Source organism: Homo sapiens, chromosome 10, assembly GCF_000001405.40.
Source record: "Homo sapiens chromosome 10, GRCh38.p14 Primary Assembly".
Taxonomy (NCBI): Eukaryota; Metazoa; Chordata; class Mammalia; order Primates; family Hominidae; genus Homo; species Homo sapiens.
Genome location: NC_000010.11, coordinates 106,611,717 through 106,638,381, shown reverse-complemented (window position 1 = coordinate 106,638,381; position 26,665 = coordinate 106,611,717). Strand labels below are relative to the sequence as shown.

At 41.8% G+C, this 26,665-nt stretch overlaps 1 protein-coding gene across 17 annotated transcripts in view, besides 1 other annotated feature; it reads left to right on the top strand.

Moving 5' to 3' along the window:
- Positions 1–26,665, top strand: part of SORCS1 (sortilin related VPS10 domain containing receptor 1) — a 607,476-nt gene that overhangs the window by 542,757 nt on the left and 38,054 nt on the right. For all 17 annotated transcript variants that reach the window (XM_017015617.1, XM_047424547.1, XM_017015615.3 and 14 more), the window contains 4 exons: positions 8,994–9,180; positions 17,821–17,954; positions 20,110–20,233; positions 26,359–26,471. In XM_017015617.1, the coding sequence (XP_016871106.1) occupies positions 8,994–9,180; positions 17,821–17,954; positions 20,110–20,233; positions 26,359–26,471 (558 nt within the window). The remainder of the gene's footprint in view (positions 1–8,993; positions 9,181–17,820; positions 17,955–20,109; positions 20,234–26,358; positions 26,472–26,665) is intronic.
- Positions 22,856–23,458: an enhancer, noted in NCBI's record as "NANOG hESC enhancer chr10:108374682-108375284 (GRCh37/hg19 assembly coordinates)". NCBI's record gives its function as "activates a minimal SCP1, AML or CMV promoter by ChIP-STARR-seq in primed H9 embryonic stem cells {active_cell/tissue: H9 hESC(primed)}" and the evidence as "EXISTENCE:reporter gene assay evidence [ECO:0000049][PMID:30033119]".

Genomic DNA, 26,665 nt, shown 5'->3' with positions numbered 1-26,665 from the left:
AAGCTAACATATTTCTGTTACATATTTTACTACTAGGAAACCTGGTTCTATAGAGATTTATTCCTAAAGGAAACTTCCTACCATTTTTAAAGTATATATAGTTTTGTTCTAATTACATAGCTGAATGTCTTTACTTTATGAGTGAATTCCAAAAGTCACTCAAAAACATTTTAAGATTTATGTCATTTGGCAGCCCCCTAGTTTTCTAGCCAGAGCCTGCTGATGTAATTCCTACAGCCACATCATGCAGTGGTAACAGTATAGCAATGTCCTTTATTATCTAAAAAGTGCTTCCAAAGTGCAATGGGTCAAGGTTCTGAACCTCTCTGTACCATAATATCTAGAGGGAGTACAGAGGCCCCAGCTCATAGTCATTATCTGCTTACACAAGCTAAGTATTCCTCCTGTCTTATGTATTCTGTTGCATTTTAAACCAGACACCAAGTACAGAAGACATAAAAGGGAAATTTGGGATTCAGTCAAATACATGGTACTATCATCCATTTCTAAAGGAAGGACCAAACCACTTTGTGATGTTCCTATTGGAATGCCTTGATCTGGGCATTAGATCCAGAAGTATTTGGGTATTTAGTTAGGCAAGTCCCAAGGATCTGAGTCCTCTTAGAAGGGCCTGAAAAAACAGCCATCTTCATTTCATCTGAGAGAAAGTGAAATGTCATAAATCTAGGCAGATGATTTGATGTGTTCAAAGTGTGCTGTCTCTGAAATTCATGGTCTTGACAGATCTGAGTTCTCTAGAAAAATTGTAAAACCTTCTGCACTATCCTCTTCACTGGCGACTCTTCATCCCCCAGGTCAGAGCATCTAAGTTCACTGTAGGTTTTGCTTGCACAGAAGCTCAGGAGGTCTGCACATTTGGAGAAAGACGTGTGCTTTAGAAAACCATCTTTGAATAGGCAAGGGGAGAAGACTGACAATACTCCGTAATTATGCATGGATTTGGACATTTTAGAGTCATCTTCCAGAGCTCAGTTTTGAAAGTGAAGAAACACCTATACAGCATGATTCAAACCAGACATCCTGGGAACACTCTGTCCTAGCTGCTTTGGTGAGGAAATTTTGGCTTTCAGCAGTGCCAGCACCTCTTGGAAGAGAAGCCAGAGAGGACAAAGAACTTGCTTGGGAACAGAAGATAGGGCATGTGCAGCTGCCTTTTATCCTAGACTGGTTTTTAACTGTTCTAGAAAAGCTCAGTTTACTATTATAAAATGTCACACAAGAAGGTCCAACACAGTTTCAACAGTTGTTTCCTGATTAGTCATCTCAGACTTTGTCAAACACTCACACTACCAGGAATCCTCACAAACCCATTTTGTAGCTTCTGGGGTATTTTACAGAGCCTGGCATATTACACTGGGATCATCTTACATCACTTTGGCATTCCTCTAAAGGGTTGTAGTTAGCGAAGCTTACAAAGTTCTTTGGTTTCACACATCAGTGAATTCATTCTTTAGCACCCATCTGGGAATGAGCACCACAGAGTAGTTTGAGTGTTTTCTGTGAACGAGTTGTAAGAGTGCTGGACTCGGAGTTAAGAACAGCCTGATTCAAACTAGTCTTGTGACTCTAGGCAAATTTGAACAGGTCTGAGTTCTTTTAGGGTTGAAGATTGATATGGTTTGGCTCTGTGTCCCCACCCAAATCTCATCTTAAAATGTAATCCCTATAATCCCCAGTGTCGAGGGAAGGACCTGGTGGGAGGTGATTGGATCATAGGGGTGGTTTCCCCCATGCTGTTTTCATAATAGTGAGTGAGTTCTCAGAGATCTGATGGTCTTATAAGTATTTGACAGTTCCTCCTACAAGACGTGCCTGCTTTCCCTTCCACTATGATTGTAAGTTTCCTGAGGCCTTCCCTAGCCATGTGGAGCTGTGAGTCAATTAAATCTCTTTTCTTTATAAATTACCCAGTCTCAGGCAGTTCTTTATAGCAGTGTGAAAACAGACTGATACAAAGTTTAAATAAGATAATATATAGAAAGTAGTTGCTATTTCTGACACAGTAAACTTTCAAAAAATGTTCTCTGTCTTCTCCCTTAGTGACCACCCAGGGGATCTTGTAGAGCAATTGTTTTCCTTTTCTATTTTTTTTTTCTTTAGTGAGAGAGTGGTTCACTCTGTTATCCAGGCTGGAGTGCAGTGGTGCAATCATGGCTCACTACAGCCTTGACTTCCCGGGCTCAAGTGGTCCTCTCACTTCAGCCTCGTGAAGTGCTGAGACTATAGTCATGAGCCACTGCACCCAACTAGATCAATCTTACTTGCACTCTCACTTTGTATACAAAGTCGCATGCCATGCATTTACTACACTGGCTGATGAAATCTCTTCTCTGCACGCCAGGGTACGTTGAACTGTTATTTCCTTTTCCACTCCTTGTCGAGACCTTGCTAACCTGAGTCTACCTCCCTAGAGTAGGGTATGCAGGATAATGGTGAGCTACTTTTATTTCATAATCCCTACTCTGCCTAAATATCCTTAGTCATACAAAGAAATGGCTGAAATATCTGATTTCCTTTCTGTCACTCAGTGCCGCTTAATGATGTGTGAAAAATCTTACTTTGTGGTCAAAATAACACAAAAATAACAACAAATTCAGTTGGTTGTATTCCATCATCAGTCAAAACAAAGTCTTTGTTACATTGATTATTTCCAATGTACTTAACCCATATTTAAATATTTATAGTAATAGTAGAGGTATAGTGTTGTATTTTGTAATGTTTCTTGTGTTATTCAGTACTCTACCCCCTTTTAAATTTGGAGAAATATTTATTTCCCCTCATTCACTCCTCCTTTCTTTGAATCCAGCTGATCCCTTCCTGCCCCTCACTTCACTCCACTCCCAGGGTAATCAATATTAACAGTCTGGGTTACCTTTTGCTTCACCTTTCTCTGTACTCGCACAAACACATACAGATTTATGGTATATTTACTGTGTTATTTGTTGCTTATTTTTTTATTAAAAATGGGTTATACTAGTGATTTTTCTGCAATGTGGTTTCTGCTTTCTTCCAAGAAAAATGTTGATGAAGCTTGAGTGAGGGCCACTGTCATGCTTGCATGGACCAGGTTCTGATATACGAGCCTGGTGTCTATCTGCAATGGGTCTCTGATGCCTTAAGGGACATCTTGGAGTCTCACTTCTGGACTGAGGCTGTCCGTGAGGAGTTTCCATAGCATTTATTGTCCCAGTGTTCTCTGAATCTGTGTTACAGGAACTGATAGGTTCACACACCTTTCATTGCTCAGGTTAATATTGGCTTCCTGGTGGCCATTTGATAAATTTGTTTTTCTATTCTAGACGTCAGCAATGCCCTTGGAGAATAGAATCATCACGTGGATTTCATGTGGGTTTTGTGCCTTTCTCAGGCACTTCTTTTGAACTAGTCTTCTCAATTCTGTGTCTGTATTAGGACATGTGACTAAAGAGCATTAGATCTGAAGAATTTTATAATAGTCTAGATGTTTGCCAGCCTGGATTTAGTTTCAGAAATGATTTCTTTTGAGTTATTAGATTGAAGTATTTTTCAATTAATTATACACAAGACTTTCCTGACTACTGATTATGAATACCAATTGTTTCTCATATTCTCTATCTTCTTTACGGCTTAAACATGATACTGTCTTACTAGTGGGTAGACAGAAGCAGAGTATTGAGTAAATGCCAACCTATCATCGTTAGAGAGGAAAAGAGAGTCAAAGCCAGGAATACAGTCAAGCAAGAAAAGAAAATAATGCTTTATCTTTGTTACCACCTTCCTCTTGGTCTGAAAGAAATATTGCGAGTAATTTCAATTAAAGAAACTCAAAGAGAACTGAACTGAATAGGTCAAGTCAAAGCACAGATCATCTTAAACCCTTTTGCAGGTGTCTAACTAGCTGCGTGACTTTATGCATCTTAACCCCTCTGTGCTCCAGTTTTTCTGTTATATCAAACATAAATAACATCTGTCCTTTCTATCTCCTAGATGTCCTAACATCCACATGAGATAATATGTAAGAAAGCATTTTGACAAACACACAATAGAAATGTGCAACTTTCAAATTATATGGAACTAAAAAGGATCATTCGCAGGTGTTGCATTAAGGCACTGAAGATACATTAACAAGACACTTCCTAGCCCCGCCGGAGTTGACACAGTCTACCCTAGTACCACCCAGCAACTCATTTTCCTAGCGAAGTTTGCTAATCTTGGCTGCGTGTATCATGACACTTTTGTTTGTGATTATGCTTCAGTCCACAATGAATTTAGTCTTTCCATTCCCAGCCTTATTAATACACCCTTAGTACTTACAGTCCTAAAGCTTCCTGGTAAAGCTTTTTCATCATATTAAAATCAGATAAGAATAGCATCTGCTTGTGCTATAGTGTTCATCTTCAGATGTATCCGACCACAAGAAGACCTAATATTCAACAATCAGAATGAGAGGGCCTCAGCCTTTGCTACAGCCTAGCATCGGCTGCAGACCTCAGACTGCAGCAGGACTGGGCATCCTCTCAGAGGCCTCAAAACAGTGCTGGGTCTTGGGTAGTAGTTGGACATCCAGATTAAGAAATAAAACTCCTAAAAAAGATGTTGATATCAAAGGCCCAGAATCACTGATTTCAAAACCAATAAACTATGAGAGTTAATTTTGACAGAAAGGTGCATATAATTTTCTGCTGGAGATTTTTTGTTTGTTTGTTTGTTTGTTTAATCTACTATCATCTATCCTAGAATACCTCCAAATTGGCTTTCCAACACACTTCCAGTTCATCTCCATATCATAGCCAGAGTGATCATTTTGAATTAAAAATATCATCATGCCATCTTCCCTTAAACCCCTACTTAGAACACTTGAATCATTAAGTTGATCTTACAGAATAGGAGAGTAGAATGGTAGCTACAAGAGGCTGGACAGGGAGAGATTGGTTAATGTGTCCAAAATCACAGTTAGACAGGAGGAATAAATTCGAATATTCTATAGCACAGTACAGTGTTAACTTTCGTTAACAATAATTTATTATATATTTCAAAATAGCTAGAGGAAAGGAATTTGAATGTCTCCAACACAAAGAAATAAAAAAGATTCAAGGTTATAGATATCACAGTTACCCTGATTTTATCACTACATATTATATATATGTATTGAAATATCACATATACCCCCATAAATATGTGTGATTATTATCAATTAAAATTTTAAAAACATTTAAAAAGTAAAACACTTTAATGGCTTCTCATTGCTCTTAGGAGAAAGATAAAAATCAGGAATTTGACCCACAAGTCCCAGAAGGTATTTTTCTCTGCTTTAACCTCATTTGGTAACATGTTCTTGTTCTCTCTCTCTTTTTCCTCCTTCTTTTTTAATTTCTTCAACCGTACTATCTCCCTCTACCACAGGGCCTTTGCACATCTGTTCCCTCTGTTCCCCTGGCCTGCACTCTCTCACTTGTGCCTCACTCATTCATCTCCTCCATTTGGTTAATTTACCTTCTTCTTTCAGGTCTTCTGAGCTCAGATATCACTTCCTTTTGGAAGCCTTCTTTGAAGTTCCCAATCAGATCGGCTCTCCAGTCCTGCATATTACAAAAGCTTACAACTCCATGTACCTTTCCTTCATGTCACCCTGCAATAATTTTTTTTGCATGATTAGTTAATTAAAGTGCATGTGTTTCACTAGTGGTCTGTAAGCTCATGAAAGCCCAGGCCATATTTATTTTGTTTGTTTGGCTATTGCTTGCTTAATAACATTTTCCCATTTGGTGACTGACATGAGATAGACAGTCAATAAATATCTGACTGTTGGGTGAATGAGTGAATGACCAGAGCGCCGGTAGGGTGAGTATGTCTACTCAATAGTTATTAGGACTTGGGCTGCCTTCCCTTTGCTCGGTTTCTTATTCTCTGAAAGTGGCTGACATCCTTGCTTCCAGTGGTCATTTGAGCCCAGGAACACCGGAATCTGATGACAGATGAGCCCCAGCGTGAAGCTGTTACAGTGGCCGTAGCCTTACCACTTACCTGAGAGCTCCTGAAGGAAAAGGCATGGAATCCAGTTTGTTCACCTTTAGTGGAAAGCGACAGCAGGAATATAATCAGCTGCCTTCTGCTGTCATACATGGCCCCTTGACATTCTTATCTCCTAGTGCAGAGTCCAAGCCAAGAGGCCTATCCCAATATCAGGAGGTCCTGGGGACTTCACATTTGATTGGAGTATTCCATGTCTTTGTCTTCAGGGGCTGTCAGGTGCATGTTAAACCTAATACCTGATTCTATCATGTAAAGTATGATCTGTTATATAATTATATATAAAATACCTGACCTAACACCCTAATAACCTGACTCTGAAATGGAAACCTTACTAATGCCCTAGTCCAAACATTGAGTAGCTCCATCCTTTCACCCATTATATACACAGAGAGCATTCCATGAATGGACAATGAAGAATCCTATCATGAAACAAAACCCAGCAAGACAGACAGTAGACATCAAGAGAGATAGAAATTGGAGGGTTTTTATGTAACTGGTCTTGATCCAGGACAACAAAATGGAAGTGATGAAGACCAGACAGAAAGGGCAAGGCAAGGTAGACTCAAGCAATGGCAGCCAAAGTTGTATTCTTCCCAGCTGTGTGAGTGTCTGCTGTCTCTCAATGGAGGCTGAAGTAGAGTTGACTGAAGGTGTGAATCTCCCCTCTGTCCTTTAGCAAATGATGGCCCCTGCCTGATGCTCACTCTGTCACCACAAAGTACTTTAAACTTGTCTGTCTCCCTCTTCCGTCATGTCCTCCCCCCTCTCTAGTGGAAACTGCATTCCTTGTTTTATTCCATGGATAACCCCAGATACCCTTGCTATTTCCCTCAGATACTTGCTTCAAAAGTGGGCTCTTTCCCCTTGCCCACACCTAGGGCTGGCTTCCCAGCAACTCTGTTGAAAACTAGGGGTGGAAACTAACTGGAAACAGAATGAGAAGTTGATCAGTCCACTTTGGTTGTTTAAATGAAGGACACGTCAGCAAGAATAGTTGACATTTATATTTATTAGTGAAGGGAATTCAAGTAAGTGCACAATGTCTGGGCTTTGGATATTTATTTTGTAGTTTTGAATGGAATTTCTCTGTTTACCCTAGGGGAGAATTTGTGCCTATGTACTTATTGAGTCTGCTGCTGTGAGCCCCACACACAATGCTTGGCTGGGCATAGAGCAGAGGAGTAGGTCACACAGATTCATAGGATTTGAACTGCTTTTCTTTTTCCCTGTGAATTAATCTTTTAAATGTCAACATTTTAAACTTGGCCTTTTCAAAAAATATGATACCATATGAACCTTACTTAATCGAAAATACATTTCTAGTTCAAAGGTTTTTGTTTTTTTCTTTCCTGAAAGTGGGAAAGGCTAACAACAACAACAAAATTTGTTAAAGGATGGACTGTGTGTGAAGGAAGCTGGTTTTTGTCAATGGGGTCTGAGCAACTTTTTTTCCTTAAGAATCTAAACTGTTGTTCCAAAGGCCATTTCTTTTTTTTTTTTACAGGTCTGGGATTTTATAATGCAGAATGTATCTTCTTCTGCCTACCCATGGGAAATTTGGAATCCTACAATTTCAATTAAGCTTTAAAGGGACAATTGTAGGTCTTTTATAGCTACATTGATTTATAGTCATTTTTATGTAGCGTTTTACAGATGACTAATTAATCTGTAATTAATTTACTGCATAGTTTTTACAACTCTTTAAGACAGGAAGGTATTATTATACCCAGTTCATAGATTTGTCACTGAGACTGCAGGAGACTGAATGACTTGCATGAAGTCTTCCAGCTTGTTAATGGCACATGAGAATTCATGCCAGGGGAGCCTTGATTACCTACAGTGCTATATTCTCTCTATAATGAATGACCTGGAAGTGCAGAAAGGTGAGTTAGAATACCAGGACCGCCACTTACTAGCTGTGTTAACCTTGAACAAGTGATGACATCTTTTTTGACTTCATCTTCTTCCTCTGTAAAGTGGGAGAAGATTGCCTACTCCTCTCTCCAGACTAGACTAAGAATCTGTGAAGAATAACATGAGATCATTTTGATAGCTTGAAATGCTAAAGCATAAAAGAATTAACCATTATTATCTCAGATAATAATAGGGCTGCGTACAGTGTCCTATCAGATATCAGGCAAAGTGTCTTCCGTCCTTCCTATGATACAATTAGGGAACAAGAAATAACGAGGGGTATTCAGGTTGAGGGGTGGTCTTGAAGACACAGGAAGTGGAGTGGTCCATTACCATGTCAGTCAGGTAGGCTAAAATTTTTGGGTTTTTGTTTGTTTGTTTCTTTGTTTCTGAGACGGAGTCTCACTCCATCATCAGGCTGGAGTGCAGTGGCATGATCTTGGCACACTGCAACCTCTGCCTGCCAGATTCAAGCAATTCTCCCGCCTCAGCCCCCCCGAGTAGCTGGGACTATAGGCGTGCGCCACCACGCCCAGCTAATTTTTGTATTTTTAGTAGAGACGGGGTTTCACCATGTTGGCCAGGATGGTCTTGATCTCTTGACCTTGTGATCTGCCTGCCTCAGCCTCCCAAAGTGCTGGGATTACAGGCATGAGCCACTGTGCCTGACCCAGGTAAGCTAAATTTTTAAAGTTGTGTGTGTACACCTTTTATCCTTGTGGATGCTAAGACTATTACCAAAGCCTTTGGAGGAATTGAATATCACATTGCAGCTGATAATCAAGCACTATTAATTTTCAAACCCCTGAAACTTACAGTAGTTGGTGTCCTTCAGATTTGGAGTGTATCCATCGTAGCAAACTCTTGCCTGCCAGGGAATGTCACAGGGATTCTGTCAAAGGCAGGCAGATGCTCCTAGCTGTAGGAGTGAGCCAGGGCTGCCATCATGCCTGAGCCAGGGACTAGGACAAGCCGTAGTCCCCAGTCCCCTAGGCAGGAGCAGCCGAATACTAACTCATTTCCTCTGATGTTGGGTTGTTTTTCAGGGTGATGTTCAGCGGACACTCATCCAAGTGGACTTTGGCGATGGTATCGCGGTGTCTTACGTCAATCTCAGCTCCATGGAAGATGGGATCAAACACGTCTATCAGAACGTGGGCATTTTCCGTGTGACCGTGCAGGTGGACAACAGTCTGGGTTCTGACAGCGCCGTCCTGTACTTACATGTAACTTGTATGTTATTACTGTTGTTGGTTTATGACCTATCTTAAATATTGTGTCCTTTTCAAATTGAATTCACAATTTTATATCTAGAAGAAGTACACTAGTTATCTTTTAGCAGAAGGGGAATGGGGAAGAAATGATTAAGAGACCAAAATAAGGAAAGAGTGAGAAGAAAATCAAAGAGTAGAATTTGATTAATCCTGGACTCTCTGGATTGCTTCAAATTCTCATTGCATTTCCTCTGCTTACCCCGGGTGCCTTGAAGATATGACACTTGAATCTGGAGGCTGAGCCTAAGTAACTTGCAGAGCTATTTGGTTGAAACAAAGAAATTTGGTTTTGCTGGGGTCAGAAATTGTTGAAAACAATCCACATGCACCACTCAATCTAATGCATTGAGAATTAGCCCAAGTAAAGAAATTTCTCCCCATCTGATTATTTCTGTCTTCTCATAATATGTTGCTATTAATAATCCTTTTAGGGTTTTGCTCCTTTTTCCTGGGCTTCTATCTGTGGATGACTTGGTGTTAGAGAGAAGGTGGTGTAGAGAGAAAGAGTATAAAAACAGTGTTAAGGAAACTGTGGTAGGAAACAGTTCCAAGAAATGCTAAAGCTTTTCCCTCATTGGGGATTCTAAAGATGTGAGTAAGTATGATGAGACAATAATAACTTCTAAGTTATGTGTGCTTAAAACATGTGTCATTAACATGTTAGGTGTAAGGGGTTTCCCAGTCATAGGACTTGTGTTGGTTACTAAAGAAATTGTTTCCTTTAAATGAAAGCAGCTCCTTTATATGAATGGTCTTGTTCAAATATCAAGTTTTAGTCCAAGAGCCTCAAGGCCAGCCATTATTACTCCATGCCTCTCCTCTGCACCTTGCCCATGGAACAAAATTGAATACAGAAAGTATCAATTAGAACATTTTCTTTTTTAGCTGCTGTGGTCCAGTGAGAGGGCAAGACTATTAGGGGATGACAAAAAGGTGTTTTGGTTGTTGAGTCTTCCTAACATGTCAGTAATTCTGATCTCTGTCTCCTGTACTCTCATGGCAGAGGTGCTTCAAAGAAACATGCACTCCTTTATTTGGGTCTGACAAAGTTACACATGATTCTCAGTATGCCAACTCAATCTGCCTATTTTTGGCTATAGTTTACAGTGTGTTCCAGACTTTGTGCTAAACAGGCTCTTAATATATGTTATCTCACTTCTCAAAACAGTCCCTTGAAGTAGGCACTATTAGTAACCCTATTTACAAAAAGTGTTGAGGTTCAGAGAGCTTAAGTTACTTGTTTGAAGTGGCCCACCTACTACCTAGCAGAACCATGCTTCAGACTCAGGTCCACCTGCCGCAAGGATCCTAGCTCTTGATAACTAAGGTCAGTGTCAGTGCCAAGAGCGGCTTGGGATTGGAGGAGCTGTCTCCATTAGCTTTTACTATCTACTCCCTACTCTTTACAGATCATCTTGAAGAAACATAAACATTTTGGTTAGAAGCAGTGTGCTTGTTACACAACTACATAGTTCAGTACTCATCACGGGGGCTCCTGTCCATCTAACTGCCATCCCTAACTCGTCCTATATAGACTTTCAGGACTTTCCACTTACTAAGACATAACACCTCCCTATATGTTAGTATGTAGGGAAATGATAGCAATGGTATCATAGAAATGATCATACTAAAATCTTTAACAATACGTCACAAACATTAATGATTAGTAGCAAAAATAACTTGCAATAAAAATGACAGCACATTTGCCAAGAATGGCTCCTACCTAGACCATATTATTATCTCATAGCTTATTCTATAAGGGGTGATTTTGCTAGAGAGCTAGCTTCCTTACAAATTATAATTGTGTTCCATATACCACAAATTTGTTATACATCTACCGTAGTCCAATCACATGTAAATACTGATTTAAAAGCCAGTATCAGCTTCTGATCTAAATTTTTCAGGGTCTCCCATTAAATCTTCCATAGCTTCACCTCCTTGTCACTCTGTAGGTTTTTTTCTCATTCCTGTGTGTGTGATCATACCCCTTGAGGTGTCTACTGCTCCCCTGCAAAACTCCTCCCTAGTTAACGAAATCCTGGAGAGGAAAACAACACACACAGAGATTGTCTCTGCTTAAGATTAAGGGCTGCGGAAACCCTTCTAAAAGAAACCAGTTTCTTCATTCATTTGCAATTCTTTCATTTCATTAGCCTAGTTGATTGGACCAAATATTTGACCTTAACCTTAGAGGAAGATAATTTGTAATGGAATGTTTCGTGTTCTGATTTTAATTTTGTAGACTCATCTTGGGTTAAGTGGTTGGATAAGCATGCCTCATATAATGGAACTTCTTTCTAAGCCTGGCTTTTTGGTACTAACTGTGTTAAAAGCAAGTTCATGTTTGAAGCTGTTTGCTAACTCACATACATATAAACTCATATAACTGTTTCAGCAGATTCTGACATGTTTGGTTAGTGCCTCCCTCCTAAAGATCCAGGGTGCTTTGCTATGCCCACAAACTCTTTTTGCTCATCTTCACATCTATACCATAACAGACTTCTGGCCTTTTCTTTCAGATGGAGAAATCAAGGATTGGAGAAGCACTGTGACTCTGGCATCACTTTATGCTCAAAGCAAGTCAGAACAAGAACATAACCGAGTCACACTCTCAGGCATCTTAAAGATGGAGGGTGTCATGAGTGACTGTGGATGCCAAAGTGCCATGATATGGCAGTGAGAGGTGGCTTTATAGGGGAAAGAAAAGCACTGGACTGAGTCGGGCATTCTGACTAGGTCCAGATTTTGGTTCAAACTCCTGGGGAAGTCACTCCATCTCTCTGAGCCTTGATTTTCTCCTCTGTCAAGTAGATGCACATCTCGTTCCCAAAAGTCCCATCAAGCAAAATATATGGTACCCTGGCACCTAGTAAAACTTGATTTTTCTATCATGAGGAAGAGGAGAATTAGCAGCAACTCTTAGCTCACCAAGCCTGTCCTCTGCCCCTCCCCAGTTCCTACCCTCAGGGGCAATCTTGAAAGCCCATTGCCTGTCTCACATACACATTCCGACCACTCTCCAGTGCAGAAAAGTGATTTGATTCCAAACCAGAGGGTTTGAAAAAAAAAGATGGGTTTGCAAAGGTCATCTGAAACAAATGGAGCCGATGTTCCTGCATAGTGTTTCTGGGAGTGGGCCGGTCTTGCTGGGCGCCTGGTAATCTCCTGTAGCCTGACAGTTGGTAATTCCTTGGGGATAGTATTCACTGTGCTCTGCTAGTTTGCAAACTAATGAGACACGTGCTGCAGCCAGTGTTGCCTTCAGTCGGATGGGGCAGAGGTTTTAGAGAGCATGCAGATTTCTGCTCAGAAAGCTGCCTTGTCGCAGCCAGTCTTGCAGAAAAAAAAAAATCACTGAAGACTGCAAACTTGCAGAACAGAAATTGGGGACAAAAAAAAGATAAGGTGGATCTTGTAGTCCTTCCTAAACTGCTTCCCTTATCTGTTCCCTTATATAGGAGCCATGTGCAGATGACTTTCTGGCCCCATCTTAGAGTAAAATGATCTGTGTAGCTTGAAAACCCACGTAGTTTTTCGACCATTCACACCATCATTTTATTGACCAGCAAACGTCAGACTAGAATTTTGTAAAGTGTGGCTTAATGAGCCACCTGCCCCCAAATTAAATGATAAAAATGTGGTGTTCTGGGTCTTATCCCAGACCCACTGAATTAGGATTCCTGGAAGTATGGCATCATAATCTGCTTTGAAGAGATTAGTATGATTTTAACGTACAGTGAAATTTGAGAAACTCTGTTTTAGGATCTCAGCTTAATAGTTTGAATCATTCTTATTTCTTCTAGTAGCTTTTTTAAACATTGCAGACAAATAGCAATATGATATGTGCACAATATTTAGGTGGCCAAAGGTCTCCACATCATAAATGCTGCAGGCAGGCCAGAGCAGCCAGTGTACACACACACACACACACACACACACACACACACACACACACACACAGAATCACACAATGTGCAGCCTCACGGGCGTCAGTTGTTTCCTGCAGCACAGGAGGGCTATAAACAAGAAAAGAGAGGGGAAACCCAGTTCACACAATTCCCCATTTCTCTCAACCACCTTTCCAGGAAGATTCATATGGAATGATGCAGCGCCACCTACTGTCCCTTTTGTGCATTGCAGGCACCTGTCTGATGGAGCCGCATCTGCCAGTTCAGCATCCTACTTAACGCAGCCAGCCAGCTGGGGGCCTCCAGGGTCTGGAGTTTCACCTCTGTGGCTCCATAGGGCATACTGCACCCTCTGTGATTAACAGAGATGGTCAAAGAATAGGCTTTTGGATAGCAGGAACCAGGTATTTTAAACCCGTGAAAAGTAAATGAATAAAAGAGGCTGTGGAAATCTGAAAGATAAATTTAATATGTGTATGCATATATAATGTATATGCATGTATGCGTGAACTTATACAAACACATATGTATTTCAGGGCCTACAAGGCCAACGTACTATGTGTCTTGAATTTCTCTTAGAAAATTCATCATTGGCCCGGCATGGTGGCTCATGCCTGTAATCCCAGCACTTTGGGAGGCTGAGTCAGGCAGATCACCTGAGATTGGAAATTCGAGACCAGCCTGGCCAACATGGTGAAACCCTGTCTCTACTAAAAATACAGAAATTAGCTGGGCATGATAGCAGGCGCCTGTAATCCCAGCTACTCATGAGGATGAAGCAGGGGTATCACTTGAACCCAGGAGGCAGAGGTTGCAACAAGCCAAGATCGTGCCACTGCACTCCAGTCTGGGTGACAGAGCGAAACTCCGTCTCAAAAAAAAAAAAAAAAAAAAAAAAAAAAAAAATCGTCATTGACCAAAACGTGATTATGTGAAAATAAATGAAAAAATAATAAGACAATTTCTCAAACATGGCAGGCATCCCTCTTCCTCGTGGTCTTTTCACTTACTCTACCCTCACCCTGGAGCTTTCAAAATTGATACTTGGTGCTGTCTTTCACTTTATTCAGGTTGCTGCTCAAATGCCATTTCTTCTGAGAGGTCTTCCATCATCACACTTTCAAAAATAGCACTCTGTCACCGACTTCTGCTTTATGCATTCAGCACCCTCCTTCCTCAGAAATACCTAAGCTCCACCAAATGCCAGGTATCCCCAGCACCTAGAATAATACCCAACAGATCACAGGACTCAAAAACTATTGAGTGAGGGTTGGGCGCAGTGACTCACGCCTGTAGTCCCAGCACTTTGGGGGGGCCGAGGTGGGTGGATCACTTGAGGTCAGGAGTTCGAGACCAGCCTGGCCAACATGGTGAAAGTCCGTACCTACTAAAAATACAAAAATTAGCCGGATGTCGAAAATTAGCCAGATTTGGTGGCACGCCCCTGTAATCCCAACTACTTGGGATGCTGGGGCAGGAGAACTGCTTGAACCCGAGAGGTGGAGGTTGCAGTGAGCTGAGATCATGCCACTGCACTCCAGCCTGGGCAGCAGAGGGAGACTCTGTCTCAAAAAATAAAAAAATAAATAAAAATAAAAAAACTGAGTGAATGAATTACCATGTTTTACTAACAAGATTCGAATTTTTCATTGAGACAATGACATATAGGCATTGTTCTTACGCTGGTTTATGACTTTTAAAAAATGCTCAGCCGGGCGTGGTGGCTCACGCCTGTAATCCCAACACTTTGGGAGGCCGAGGCGGGCGGATCACAAGGTCAGGAGTTCGAGACCAGCCTGGCCAACATGGTGAAACCCTGTCTCTACTAAAAATCAAAAATTAGCCAGGCATGGTGGTGTGTGTCTGTAGTCCCAGCTAGCTACTCGGGAGACTGAGGCAGGAGGATTGCTTGAACCTGGGAGGCAGAGGTTGCAATGCTCCGAGATCGTGCCGCTGCACTCCAGCCTGAGCGACAGAGTGAGACTCTGTCTCAAAAAAAAAAAAAAAAAGCTCACATATGAGAGACAAAATGAACCTCTTTAGAATGGAACTAGCATTTCTAGCATAGTTTATCTAGTCATTGTATTCTAATGTATTCATTTAACGCAGATTGAGGGACTCAGGAAGAATGTCACAGAGGAGGGGATGCTGGAACTGAGATTTGAAGACTGACAGGTGCCATAAGAAAGGTGTGTAGAAGCAAAGGCCCTGGGGTGGACCAGGACATGGCTTGCTGGAACAAACCATTTGATAGGGAAATGGCAAGACTTGTGCAATAAATGAAACCAGGTGGAAAGTGCATTTTCCAATGCCTGGGACATATTTACCTGATGAGGAGGCAGCAACTCTTAATAGCTATTTTGTTTGACTGGAAAGGTTCTTTCAAACACTTCCATCTGCTCAGAACAAGGGCTCTGAAACCAAACTGCTTTCCTAGCTGTATGACCTGGGGAAAGTCACGTTACTTTGTTCATCTCTAAACGGGGAGGATATTAGTGCCTACTTCATAAGATTGTTTTGTGAGGATAAAATAAGAAAAACAGAGTCGTTAGCAGAACATTTAGTTGTAGTCATCGCTCAGTAAATGTTACCCTTTTATTATTTCATTGAACTGCTCTGGCTTATAATCAACTGCTTCTCAACATATGCTTTATAGGCCAGAAGATCAGTTTGATTCTGTATGCTGATCACCAGACTTTTCATTCTCTAAAGAGGGAGTAGCATGCACAAAGACGGACATGGGAAGTTATATCATTTGTTTTACCCAGTGAATACTTGAGCATCTATAATGTCTTAGAAACTCTGCTAGTCTTTGTGTATGAAGATAAATATGAAGAATTCTTACCCTCAAGAAGTTTTCAGCCTCTGTCTTCTGTCTCACAAATTTTAAATCAATGTGTGTTAGCTATCATTATTATCATAATTGGATCATGGGAATCTTTTTTTTTTTTTTTTTTTTTTTTCGAGATGGAATCTTGCTCTGTCACCAGGCTGGAGTGCAGTGGTGTGATCTTGGCTCACCGTAACCTCTGCTTCCCGGATTCAAGCAATTCTCCTGCCTCAGCCTCCTGAGTAGCTGGGACTACAGGTGCATGCCACCATGCCCAGCTAATTTTTGCATTTATAGTAGAGATGGGGTTTCACCATGTTGGCCAGGATGGTTTCGATCTCTTGACCTCATGATCCACCCAACTCGGCCTCCAAAAGTGTCGGGATTACAGGCATGAGCCACCACACCACATCACATTCCCAATCACGGGAATCTTAATTTTGAACAAGTATGAGTAACATGATCAGCTTCGCTTTCTAGAAAAATTACTGTTGCAGCCATTTGGAGGATGGATTCGGGTGGTGAAAGGTTACAGGCAGGAAAATCTGGAAGATAAGTGAGAACGTGCTTAGAGTATGAACCAGGGCGCCAGATTAGGGAGGGTGAGCTAAATATCTTAGAGAGATTTATGAAACCAAATCGTCAGTTTCCTAAATGGATGTGAATAACAAAAAAGAAATTGAAATTGACTTTCTGTTTCTGGAGTGGGCTCCTGGATGAATATGAGTGTTAATCACCAAACTGTAGAGAATACAGGAGAGGGAAATAACAGGGTCCTTGAGAACATTTGATTGCTGGAGGCAAAGAAGTCTAGACCCCCCCAGAAGGAGTCTAGAGCCCAGAAAGGGGTGTTAGAGCCCTTCACATGCATTTGATATTTGAAGGTTAAGGTGTGGATGGTGTTGCCTAGTAGAAAAGTCTGTAGAGAGTGAAAAAGTCTCAACACAGGACTCTGGGAAACACATTTACAGGGCAAGCAGAAGAGGAGGTAATAAACCAGGTGAATAGACCCAAGGTATTGCTCTCTCCTCTACCTCATGGGACAAAGATGGGGATGGCAAATGCATAGGAAGCTGCATTTTGCCTGGAAACAGTGACTCAAAGAGAAGATTGAGGGTTGAAGGAAAGGTCCTAGTGGTTCTTTATGAAGAGGGCATTCATATCTTTGTGAGGTTGGTACATCTAATTAAGGTTTCCAGTTTTTATAGGCCTCTGTAGATAAAATCATTCTATATTTTAGGTGAGCATCTTCTGAGAACCACAGAGCTCTCTATCTACTTACACACACACCTCTGTCCTGAATTAACTTAATTCAACCCCAAACACAGTGTGTGTGCCATGCTTACCTAACTAGACAGCTTTGCAGACACATGCACGAACACATTCACACATACACAGACCTTTAAAACCCAATAAATAATAAAGGGTAATGACATAGAGAGTGGTTTGAAGATTTGTCCATTCACCCTTCATCAATATGGATTCTATGAGGTCTTCATGACTCTGGTTCACCACCAGGGATACAACCTCTTGGAAAGACTGCATTGCCTTGTGAAATCCCAAATGATGCCTGTTCTTAAGGACTTCATAAGTTACCTGTAATTTTTTTTTAACTTTTACACACACCTAACTCAGGTGTTAGAACTGGTAGAAAGATTGGTAAGTGCAAAATGTCAAGATGCAATTGTGCTCAATGTATTCTTTCTCCAAAGTGGGGAAAGCATCTGAACACTTCTTTTGGGGAATATGGCAGCCAGGTTTTGGGGGCTTCAAGAGTAAATGTGTGATCTCTTCAGAGCAGGGAGGACAGAGCAGAGGAAGCTCTTCCCCATCCATGGCCTCTCTTTCTCTTGTGCCTCAGGTCCCTTGGAGCACGTGCACCTGTCTCTTCCCTTTGTCACCACAAAGAACAAAGAGGTCAATGCGACGGCAGTGCTGTGGCCCAGCCAAGTGGGCACCCTCACTTACGTGTGGTGGTACGGAAACAACACGGAGGTGGGTTCACCTTCCACATGCGATCTAGGGACAGAAGCTCAATTCACGCTGCCTGAAGCAAAGGAGGGAATGAAATGGCTTATGAACCCTAGAGTGTAGAAGCAGTTGTAGCTTCAAGGACAACAAGCTCCCTTGGTGCTCAAGTATCTCATCATTATGTTCTCTCTCTCTCTCTCTCTGGCCCCTCTCCACCTTCTGCATTTCATCTCTGCCTTCCTCTATGTTTACGTTTTTCTCCAGCTGTACTTGTCTTTGTAGTGACTCTTAGCAGCCCTAGCTTAGCAGAGAAATTAAACTCTATTTCCTGAAAGTTCTAACAACAGTCCTGAAATTGAGTCTTACTGGCCAGGCCTTGATCACAGTGCTGGGGGTAGAGAGGGAGGTGAAGAAGTCAGTCTCCTCGGAACCACGTGAACTACAGAAGGGGAGAAGTGATTACCAAAAGAAAACGAAGCAACTGGATGCAACTGGACAGGCGCAAGCAATAGATTTCCATTACAACCCACCCCCAATGGCCTTCTTACCCTAAATCAAAACTCTTATTTATTTAGGTCAGCTTTAACTTTTATATGTTTTTCCAAATATTCCCTATGCTCAAAAGTCAGTGGCAATTTTAAATCTAGTAGAGACCTAACACCTTGTTTACTCTAAGTCTTTCATTTTGCACATGAGAAAAGTGAGGGTGGTGCAGCTGGAGTGGTTTGCTTTGATCTCTTCCAGCTGCTTCATAAGAGGCCAAATTTAAGGCCTTCTGATGCCTCCACTAATGTTTCTTTCCTCTACACCAGGCTGCATGGTCTATTTCAGTTTTGAACTCATTCCATTCTCAGAAATTAAAGTGCTTCCAAATGTAAGTTAGGCAATAGAGCTGAGGCCCCAAAGGACACTGGGATGAACTGCTCTGGACTGAAACACTCCATCTTCTTCCATCAGAGCTGCTTTCACTTGGTGACTTTGCTCTTCAAATACGATGTCTCTTATTTTAATAAAAACATTTTTCTGCTCTGGAGCTGAAACTTGGCTTTAGCTGGAGATATAATTTTGCACAGGCCCAGGACAAACCTAAACAGTGGAAAGAACCTCTCACCTCTACTGCAACCATAACTAAACTGAAAAGAGACCCTTTTTAATTTCACCTGAAACTATGTGTGTGAACTCAGCCCATAGTGGGCCCTCTATCCATAGCGGAAGAGCAGGAATCTATGTCATTTCCCTGAAAACTAGTACTAAAAGGTGAATGTACTGAACAACTTCCTTTTGTACCCCCTATTGTTTTTTATTTTTTTTATTTTTCCTTTTAAAAGAAAACCAGATTCTCAAGAGACCCCATTGAAAAGGCTTCTCATGCTGGGCGTTAGTCTTCTTTCTGCCATACAGGGAATTAAATGAATTTTGATTTTTAAATTAATTAAGAAAAGATGGGAAATAAATGTTTGTGAGGAGTGTGTCAAGGGAGGTCAGTAGGCTAATATTTTTTCCTCTAGGACCCTAGCAGTCGATTGTATTGCAGGCACCACGCCAAATTTTTTTTTCTTTTTTTTCTGTTTTGAATCCTCAAACCACTATCCAATTAGTGCTTGTTTCCACAGCAGCTACTTCCAGGAAACTGCTGATGAGGCTTCTCAAAGCGGGCCAGCACACAAGGCCACTGCTGTTTAACTAGTGTATGGTTTTGGTGTACCGGATTCATGTTCCATTGTAATTCTACAGAAATCGTACACCCTGGAGATGAACACATGGCAGCTTATAGATTTTCAGTGACTGCTGCTTCCATCTGGATTAATATGAGCCCCCGTTCTCATTTGCTTTGATCATTTCCTTGTATTAGGGATCTGCTTGATATGAGTAGGTCATGCATAAAGAGAGACATACATTCCACCAGCAAGCAAGACCTATCCATCTCCCCAGCCCTGAATCAGGATGATATCAGGAATTCACAATGAATAGGCAGACTTGCTTGGAGTCATTGCTCCAATAGCCTCTTTTCTGCTTTGGGCTTGAGATGATAGGGAGGCATAGAGGGACTCAGTGCCATTGTGGTACATCAGGAAGAGCCTCTGCTGGGTTAGACAGCCTATTGTTGGCTCACAGTTAGTGGCTGTGTCACCTGTAACTAAAGAGCTTTCCCTTCACTCTGGGCCCTTGTTTATTTTAGCCTTTGATCACCTTGGAGGGAAGCATATCCTTCAGATTTACTTCAGAAGGAATGAATACCATCACAGTGCAGGTCTCAGCTGGGAATGCCATCCTACAAGACACAAAGACCATCGCAGTATATGGTGAGTGCCCATCTCAGTGGATCTACTGCTGTCTTCATGCTCAGAGGAGGTTCTCTTGTGCCATGATGCCAGAGACCATCCCCCAGCTGTGACTTTTACCTGGAGAACGGAGGGCAGTAGTTGAGAAAGAGCTGAGGCGAGTCTCATCTTCTCCTGTAGGGAAATTTGAATCACTGGTAAAACAGCGTCACGGGATCCAGAAAGGGTTTTCTTAGAGGTAGAGTGACTATTCACTCACTCATAGTGTAAAGTGGATTTTAGGATGTGTAAGGCTAACTCATTTCACTTAGATTGTTAGTAATATTTGAATACCAGTTACAAAATAAAATAGCTAATGTTGAATCTCTTTTTTTTAAGTTCAACTTTAAAATTCTTGACTAATAAGGGAAATCTGCCATTGTCTAAATACTTTAAAAACCTCTTCCACAAATCTGTATCATAAAAAAAATTATCTGCTAGATTGAGAGTGATGGAAGGGTCATAACAATTAGATGTCGTACATAGCCATAGACGGGATATTTGAACAAATGGCTAATTTTGTGATCAGTTGGGGAAATTGAATATGGTCACAGGATTAGATGGAATGAATGTGTACTGAAATGAAAAGATGGAGTCATTGATTGAAAACTGGAAATAAAAAAAATACTTGATGGATTGATTTCATTTTGGTAAATCTTTTTCTGCATAGAAAGATAGTCATATGGATATGCACTAAGTGTTACTAGTACATGGCAAAAATGTTTATTATTAATATGGAAATGGTACATATGAATCCTGAAAAATTAGCTTTTGAAATATAAGAAGTGGAAATTAGATAGGAGAAGGAAATGCTGTGCAGAGAGAGGAGGAGGCAGAAGGAGGGAGGAAGGAAGGAGGATGAGAAAGAGAGCAAGAGAGGCTGGGTGCGGCGGCTCACTTCTGTAATCGCAGCACTGGGAGGCCGAGGCGGGTGGGTCACCTGAGGTCAGGAGTTCGAGACCAGCCTGACCAACATGGTGAAACCCCATCTCTACTAAAAATATAAAATTTAGCCAGGCATGGTGGAACATGCCTGTAATCCCAGCTACTCAGGAGGCTGAGGCAGGAGAATCGCTTGAACCCAGGAGGCAGAGGCTGCACTGAACCAAGATCGCGCCATTGCACTCTTGCCTGGGCAACAAGAGAGAAACTCCATCTCGAAAGAAAAAAAAAAAAAAGAAAGAGCAAGAGAGAGACAGACAGCCTAGCTCGTGGTCCAAATAATGTCAATTGCCCAGTTCCCTTATCAGTTGATTTTGATGAGATAATTTGGGGCTGGATTTTCCTGTGAGGAGTCAGGTTCTGTTAATGCTCATCTTGCCAACTTGACCTTCAAAATCAGAAAATAATTTGTAAGCAACTTTGAACACATCTAAGGATCAAAAGGCCTTAAGGACACTATTCCTTTCATGGCTGGGTGTTAGATTTTATAATTTCTTCTCTCTCCCTTCCTCCTGAAAGGCTTGATCAGCCCAGATAATAAGAAATAAACCAGGGCTGTGATTTTCCTACCAATGTCCCATTAGCAAGGTACGAGGTGGCCAAACAGTGGCTGTGTATAGAGTGCGGCAAAGTCTGCCTCTCTTCCCTTCTCCATCTCCTTTCTGGGTGCTGGGAATGCATTTATTCTTCATAACAACCCTAGTGTAAAGCAGGTGATATTATGATCCCCATTTTTTTCAGAGTGATGAATAACTTGCCCCAGCTAGCAAGTGGTGCAGCTGGGTTTGCAACCCAACCCATCTAGACTCAGGGCCCATGCACTGAAACTATCCTACTTAACTGATTCTCATTTATTTTCACTGGATTTTTTTTTCCTTTCTCTCCCTCTTGGATGTCACAGGTTGCACTAATGGGCACTGACCTATTAGCCCAACAGATGTCCTCTTGGTTATGCATGTTGGTGATGTCATTAGAATCATGAAGAAAACCTTAAATCTTGGCCTTATCTGGTCCAGCCCATCATTTTATAGATAGGAAATTATGGCCCAGACATAGGGAATTACTGGCTTAAAGTCATTCTGCTGATTGGTGACAAATATGATCATAACGATGGTGGTGGTGATAGTAATTGACATTGATGAAGACTTTGCTAGCCACTGGCATCTGTTCTAAGCATTTGGTTTGATCTGCTTTATTAAATCTGCTCAGATTTATGAGAAATATTCTATAATTATGCATTTTACGGATGAGAAAACATGAGACAAGTATAATAAACGAGCTAAGAATTCTGAATCCAGAGGGTATGTTTGTAAGCACCTCCCATGCCTTGCTATGCTTGCTTCTTCCTCTTTCTACAATTTCTTTACAGGTATCACCCAAGGGTGAATCACTCTTTATAAAAATAGGTTATCATATGTCTCTTCGTTAAGAGATTTGGCAAGGTTCTCCTCCTCTTCTAACCAAATTCCTGCACCATCGGCCACCCTTAATTTGTCTTTGGTCAGTTGAGTTATCCAGAGATTCATATACATAATCGGAAAGTTATGGGGTCTCCCTATGTTGCCCAGGCTGGTCTCAGACTCCTGGCCTCAAGCGATCCTCCCTCCTCAGCCTCCCAAAGTACTGAGATTACAGGCATGAGTAACCACACCTGGTTCCATGATCAGACAGTTTTAATGACAGGTGTGACTCCTTAAACAAAAGTTGGAGCAGGCAAAGTTAAACAGGAAAGATTGAACCCAGCTGAAAGAAAAAGCAGGAAGATTTGTAAACGCTGGGGTTAGCTAGTGGGAAAATACTGGAGAACTTTAGGAAGCACGTGGGTTTCCAGTGTGATTAGACCATCTGTGTGAGTTAATCACTGCTTAGGGAAGTCAGTCTCCTACTCTCCCGCAGAGACTGGGAGATAGGGAGGGGTGCTATCTTTCTTGATGATTACATTTCAAAGGAATGGCTCCCAGGTCCTTGAGAAAGACATTCATGAGTTGTAGAAGTTTTACATCTCAAGGGACAGAGAAGGAATTTACAATTGTAAGTTTTCCAGAATACTCTAAGAAAAGCAAGTCCAGGAGCTTACAGTCAGGAAGAAACAGAAACTTGTTTGAAATTTAGTGAGATTGATGGGAACATGAAGTCCTATTGTCATGATGGGACTGAAAAAAGCATCACATTTGGGAAATTGACAGGGGAAGGTTTGTCTACTCAAAGCCACACAATCAATTAAAAGAAAGAAAATCTAGTTTGCATTGTTTCTTCTAATTTGCTCCAGGGCACAAGTTTGCTTGTAAATAAAAATACGCAAGTGTATAGACTTTATCTCTCTCAACAGCTGCAAAAAATATTATATTATTGGTGTTTACCCTTTTCAGTCCGCCCACACGCATCCCCTATTTCTTGAATCAACTTAAGTACGTTTCCCTGCCATTCTGCCTCCCTGCCATGCTGGTTAGTATGCTAAGTAATTACGGAGGGAGCTGCATCATTTTCTCATTTGTGTCCTTTTACTAAGATAAACATTCTCCCTTGTGGATGAAGTCTCTGCAGTTTGGTAAGAGGTACGGAGAAAGTGAGAATGACATAAACTTAAATCTTCATAGCAAGAAGTGAGGACTTAATGGGTGATTCTTTGGCACTGCTGTTTACCACACTATTTAGTTAACGTGCATTTCATTGTTCCCCATCAGGTAATATTCACATAGGTGACCAGTGACTCATAAAATAGTCAAGCTTTGAACAATACCTCTTTGGAATATATTAACTGCCACGAAAACATACCTTATAAAGTCAGAGTCTTCGAAACATGTGTTTGATAACTCCTTAGCATTGTTAGGAAATGTACAAGTGAACTTTTGTGCTTCCTGAATGTAAATTGGCATCCCCAATGTCGCTTGGACCCTAATGAAACAAAAGGGCATGCTTAACATAAAAAATGTTTATTAAATAAATAAATGCATAAATTTCGAGAAGGCTACACCATAAGTTAAGCATACATTTATTCAACAAATGTTTATTAATTATAAATGACTCATAGATAGTAACTGAAAACCTACTGTGTGCTAGACAAGGGCCAGGAACACAGAGCCATCATCCTGATTGAGGTTATATTCCAGTTTGAAGGACATATCAATGAAAACAAAATAATTTAAATAGCGCTGAGTGTGAAAAAGAGACAAAGGGTCCAGTGATGAAGGGTGCATGGGATGGTGGAAGGGAGGCTACCTGAGGTTGGGTGGTTGGAAAGGCCTCTCGGGGTGAGACTGAATGATGAGAGGGGAGTTTGCTACAGTCCAGTGAAGTGGAGAGAGCTGGTATGGACAGAGCCAGCAGGATTGAGGAGCACAGGGAAGTACAGGTCCTGGAGCACAGAGAGGGCAGGAAAGCCAGGTAGGACAGGACAAAGGAAGTCCCCACCAGGTTATGTAGGGCCAGGAAGGCTGTGGTAAGAATCTAAATTTTATACTAAATGCAATGTGGAGGCACTGGCAGGTTTTAGGGGAGCCATATGATCTGAGTCTATTATGTGCCAAACACTATGCTGGGTAAGGAGTGTTGAAGCCACAAGAATGGGCTTCACAGACCTCCAACTCCAGAGAGTGTAACTGACCAAGGCCACCAGTGCTGTGCTCTGAAGCTTATCACCAAGCTAGGGCTAGGGCTCCACCTTCCAGGGACTTACCCTGCCAATGACAGAGTATAGCAGGGATACTAAGGCTGAACCATTCCTGGAACGCAGGGGACTCCTCTGCCAGCGACTTTGGCTCCAAGACTCCTGAACAGGCTTACTGAACCTTCCTCAGACTGCAGAGTAGTCACCCACTCTTTCTTCCTCTCTTTGACTGTCCTATATGCATGCACGGTGGTCGATAGTTCTCCATGACTCCTGTGGCTTCCTGCCCACTTTCTCGCACAGAGAATTCCCCTCATATAATCCTTGCCTGTGTAATCACCATCTTGCTTCCTGGAGAACCAAACTAACTCAGGTGCTACAGAGACAATGAAGAAAATCCCTGAATAACATAAAATTCCATTAAATGAAACTTCCATGCAAACAAACGATAGCAATAGAATGATTACAGTGATAATTATAAATATCTAATCATAATAATTATTCCATAATCCTATAATAATAATAAAAAGTATGTACAAAACAGAGTAGTGCCATAAAAAAGAAAATTAAAATGTGATGGGGGAGGGTAGTGAGCCGGGGGAGGGTAGTGAGCCAGGGAGTGCTTCAACTAGAGCTTGAATATTTTGTGCATGGACAGTGGGGAGAATGGGGCGTTCTAGGCAGAAGAACGGTGTGTGCAAAGAGGCCCAGGGTCATAAACCTACCATGCATTCAGGTTGCTCCAGATCATTTACTATCCAGGAGCGCAGAACCTAGAACTAGGAATAATAGGCAAAGGCTGCAAAGATAGGCATGGAACAAAGTTAGGGGTTTGGTTTAGAAAATAAGGGGCTACGGGCTCTTAGAGCCTGCTGGCAACCTTTGGTATGCAAATGCTGGCCATTAGAAACTGGGTCCAACCAAACATGGCAATTCCCTGCCCTGTTCTTGCCCTTGCCCTCACATGTGACTGGCAACATGGCTGCCCCCACGTATCCCTCTGTGTGTAGAACAACATGGCACCCTGCATTTGCATACTAAAAGGCTAGGGTGAGAGGGCCAGTTTTTTCCCTGTCTATATCATGAATGACATGCCTGGTCAAACCAATCCCTAAGCCCTATGCAAATCAGACACTGCCTCCTCATATAACTGGATGGTATCGGTCACGCTGCGGGGGTGGGGGCGGGAGGGGGAGAAAAGGGGGAAAGGGGGAGACAGAGGAAAGGAGAAGGGGGGAAGGGGGGCCAGGGGTAGTCTGGGGGGGTGGTCTCCTCTCTCAGCTTTGTAGCCCCCTCCCTCTGTCTCTATACAGGGGAGCTTCTTCCTTCTTTCTTCTACCTTCTTTCTTGCCTATTAAACTCTCCGCTCCTTAAAACAAACAAAAAAAGAAAAGAAGGGGCTGGTGAGATATTCACAGGGTAGTGGCTTGCCTTCTAAAAAGGTCCCTATGGTAAGTGAAGGGGAAGGACCCTCCATTTTGTATAAAATATAAAGTCTAACAAACCTCTTGACAGGACTATTTGACTTATAGTACTCCATCTACTGTTATATCCCCAGAGGAATTCCGGTCTCTTCGCTTGTCCTTTTCTCCAAACCTGGATGACTACAACCCGGACATCCCTGAGTGGAGGAGGGACATCGGTCGAGTCATCAAAAAATCCCTGGTGGAAGTGAGTGCACACAGTTTCTTCTCTTGCCCGGGTACCTTTTCTCTCTGTCCTTGAAGAATTTCACAGAAAGGGGAGCTTTGTACAAAAACAAACAAACTAACCCAGCAGGAAGAAGCTAGAGCCCATGGGAAGTTCTGGCCTGATGTCTGCAAAGCTGAGCCCCACACATGCAGAGACCTCAAAGGCCCTAAAGG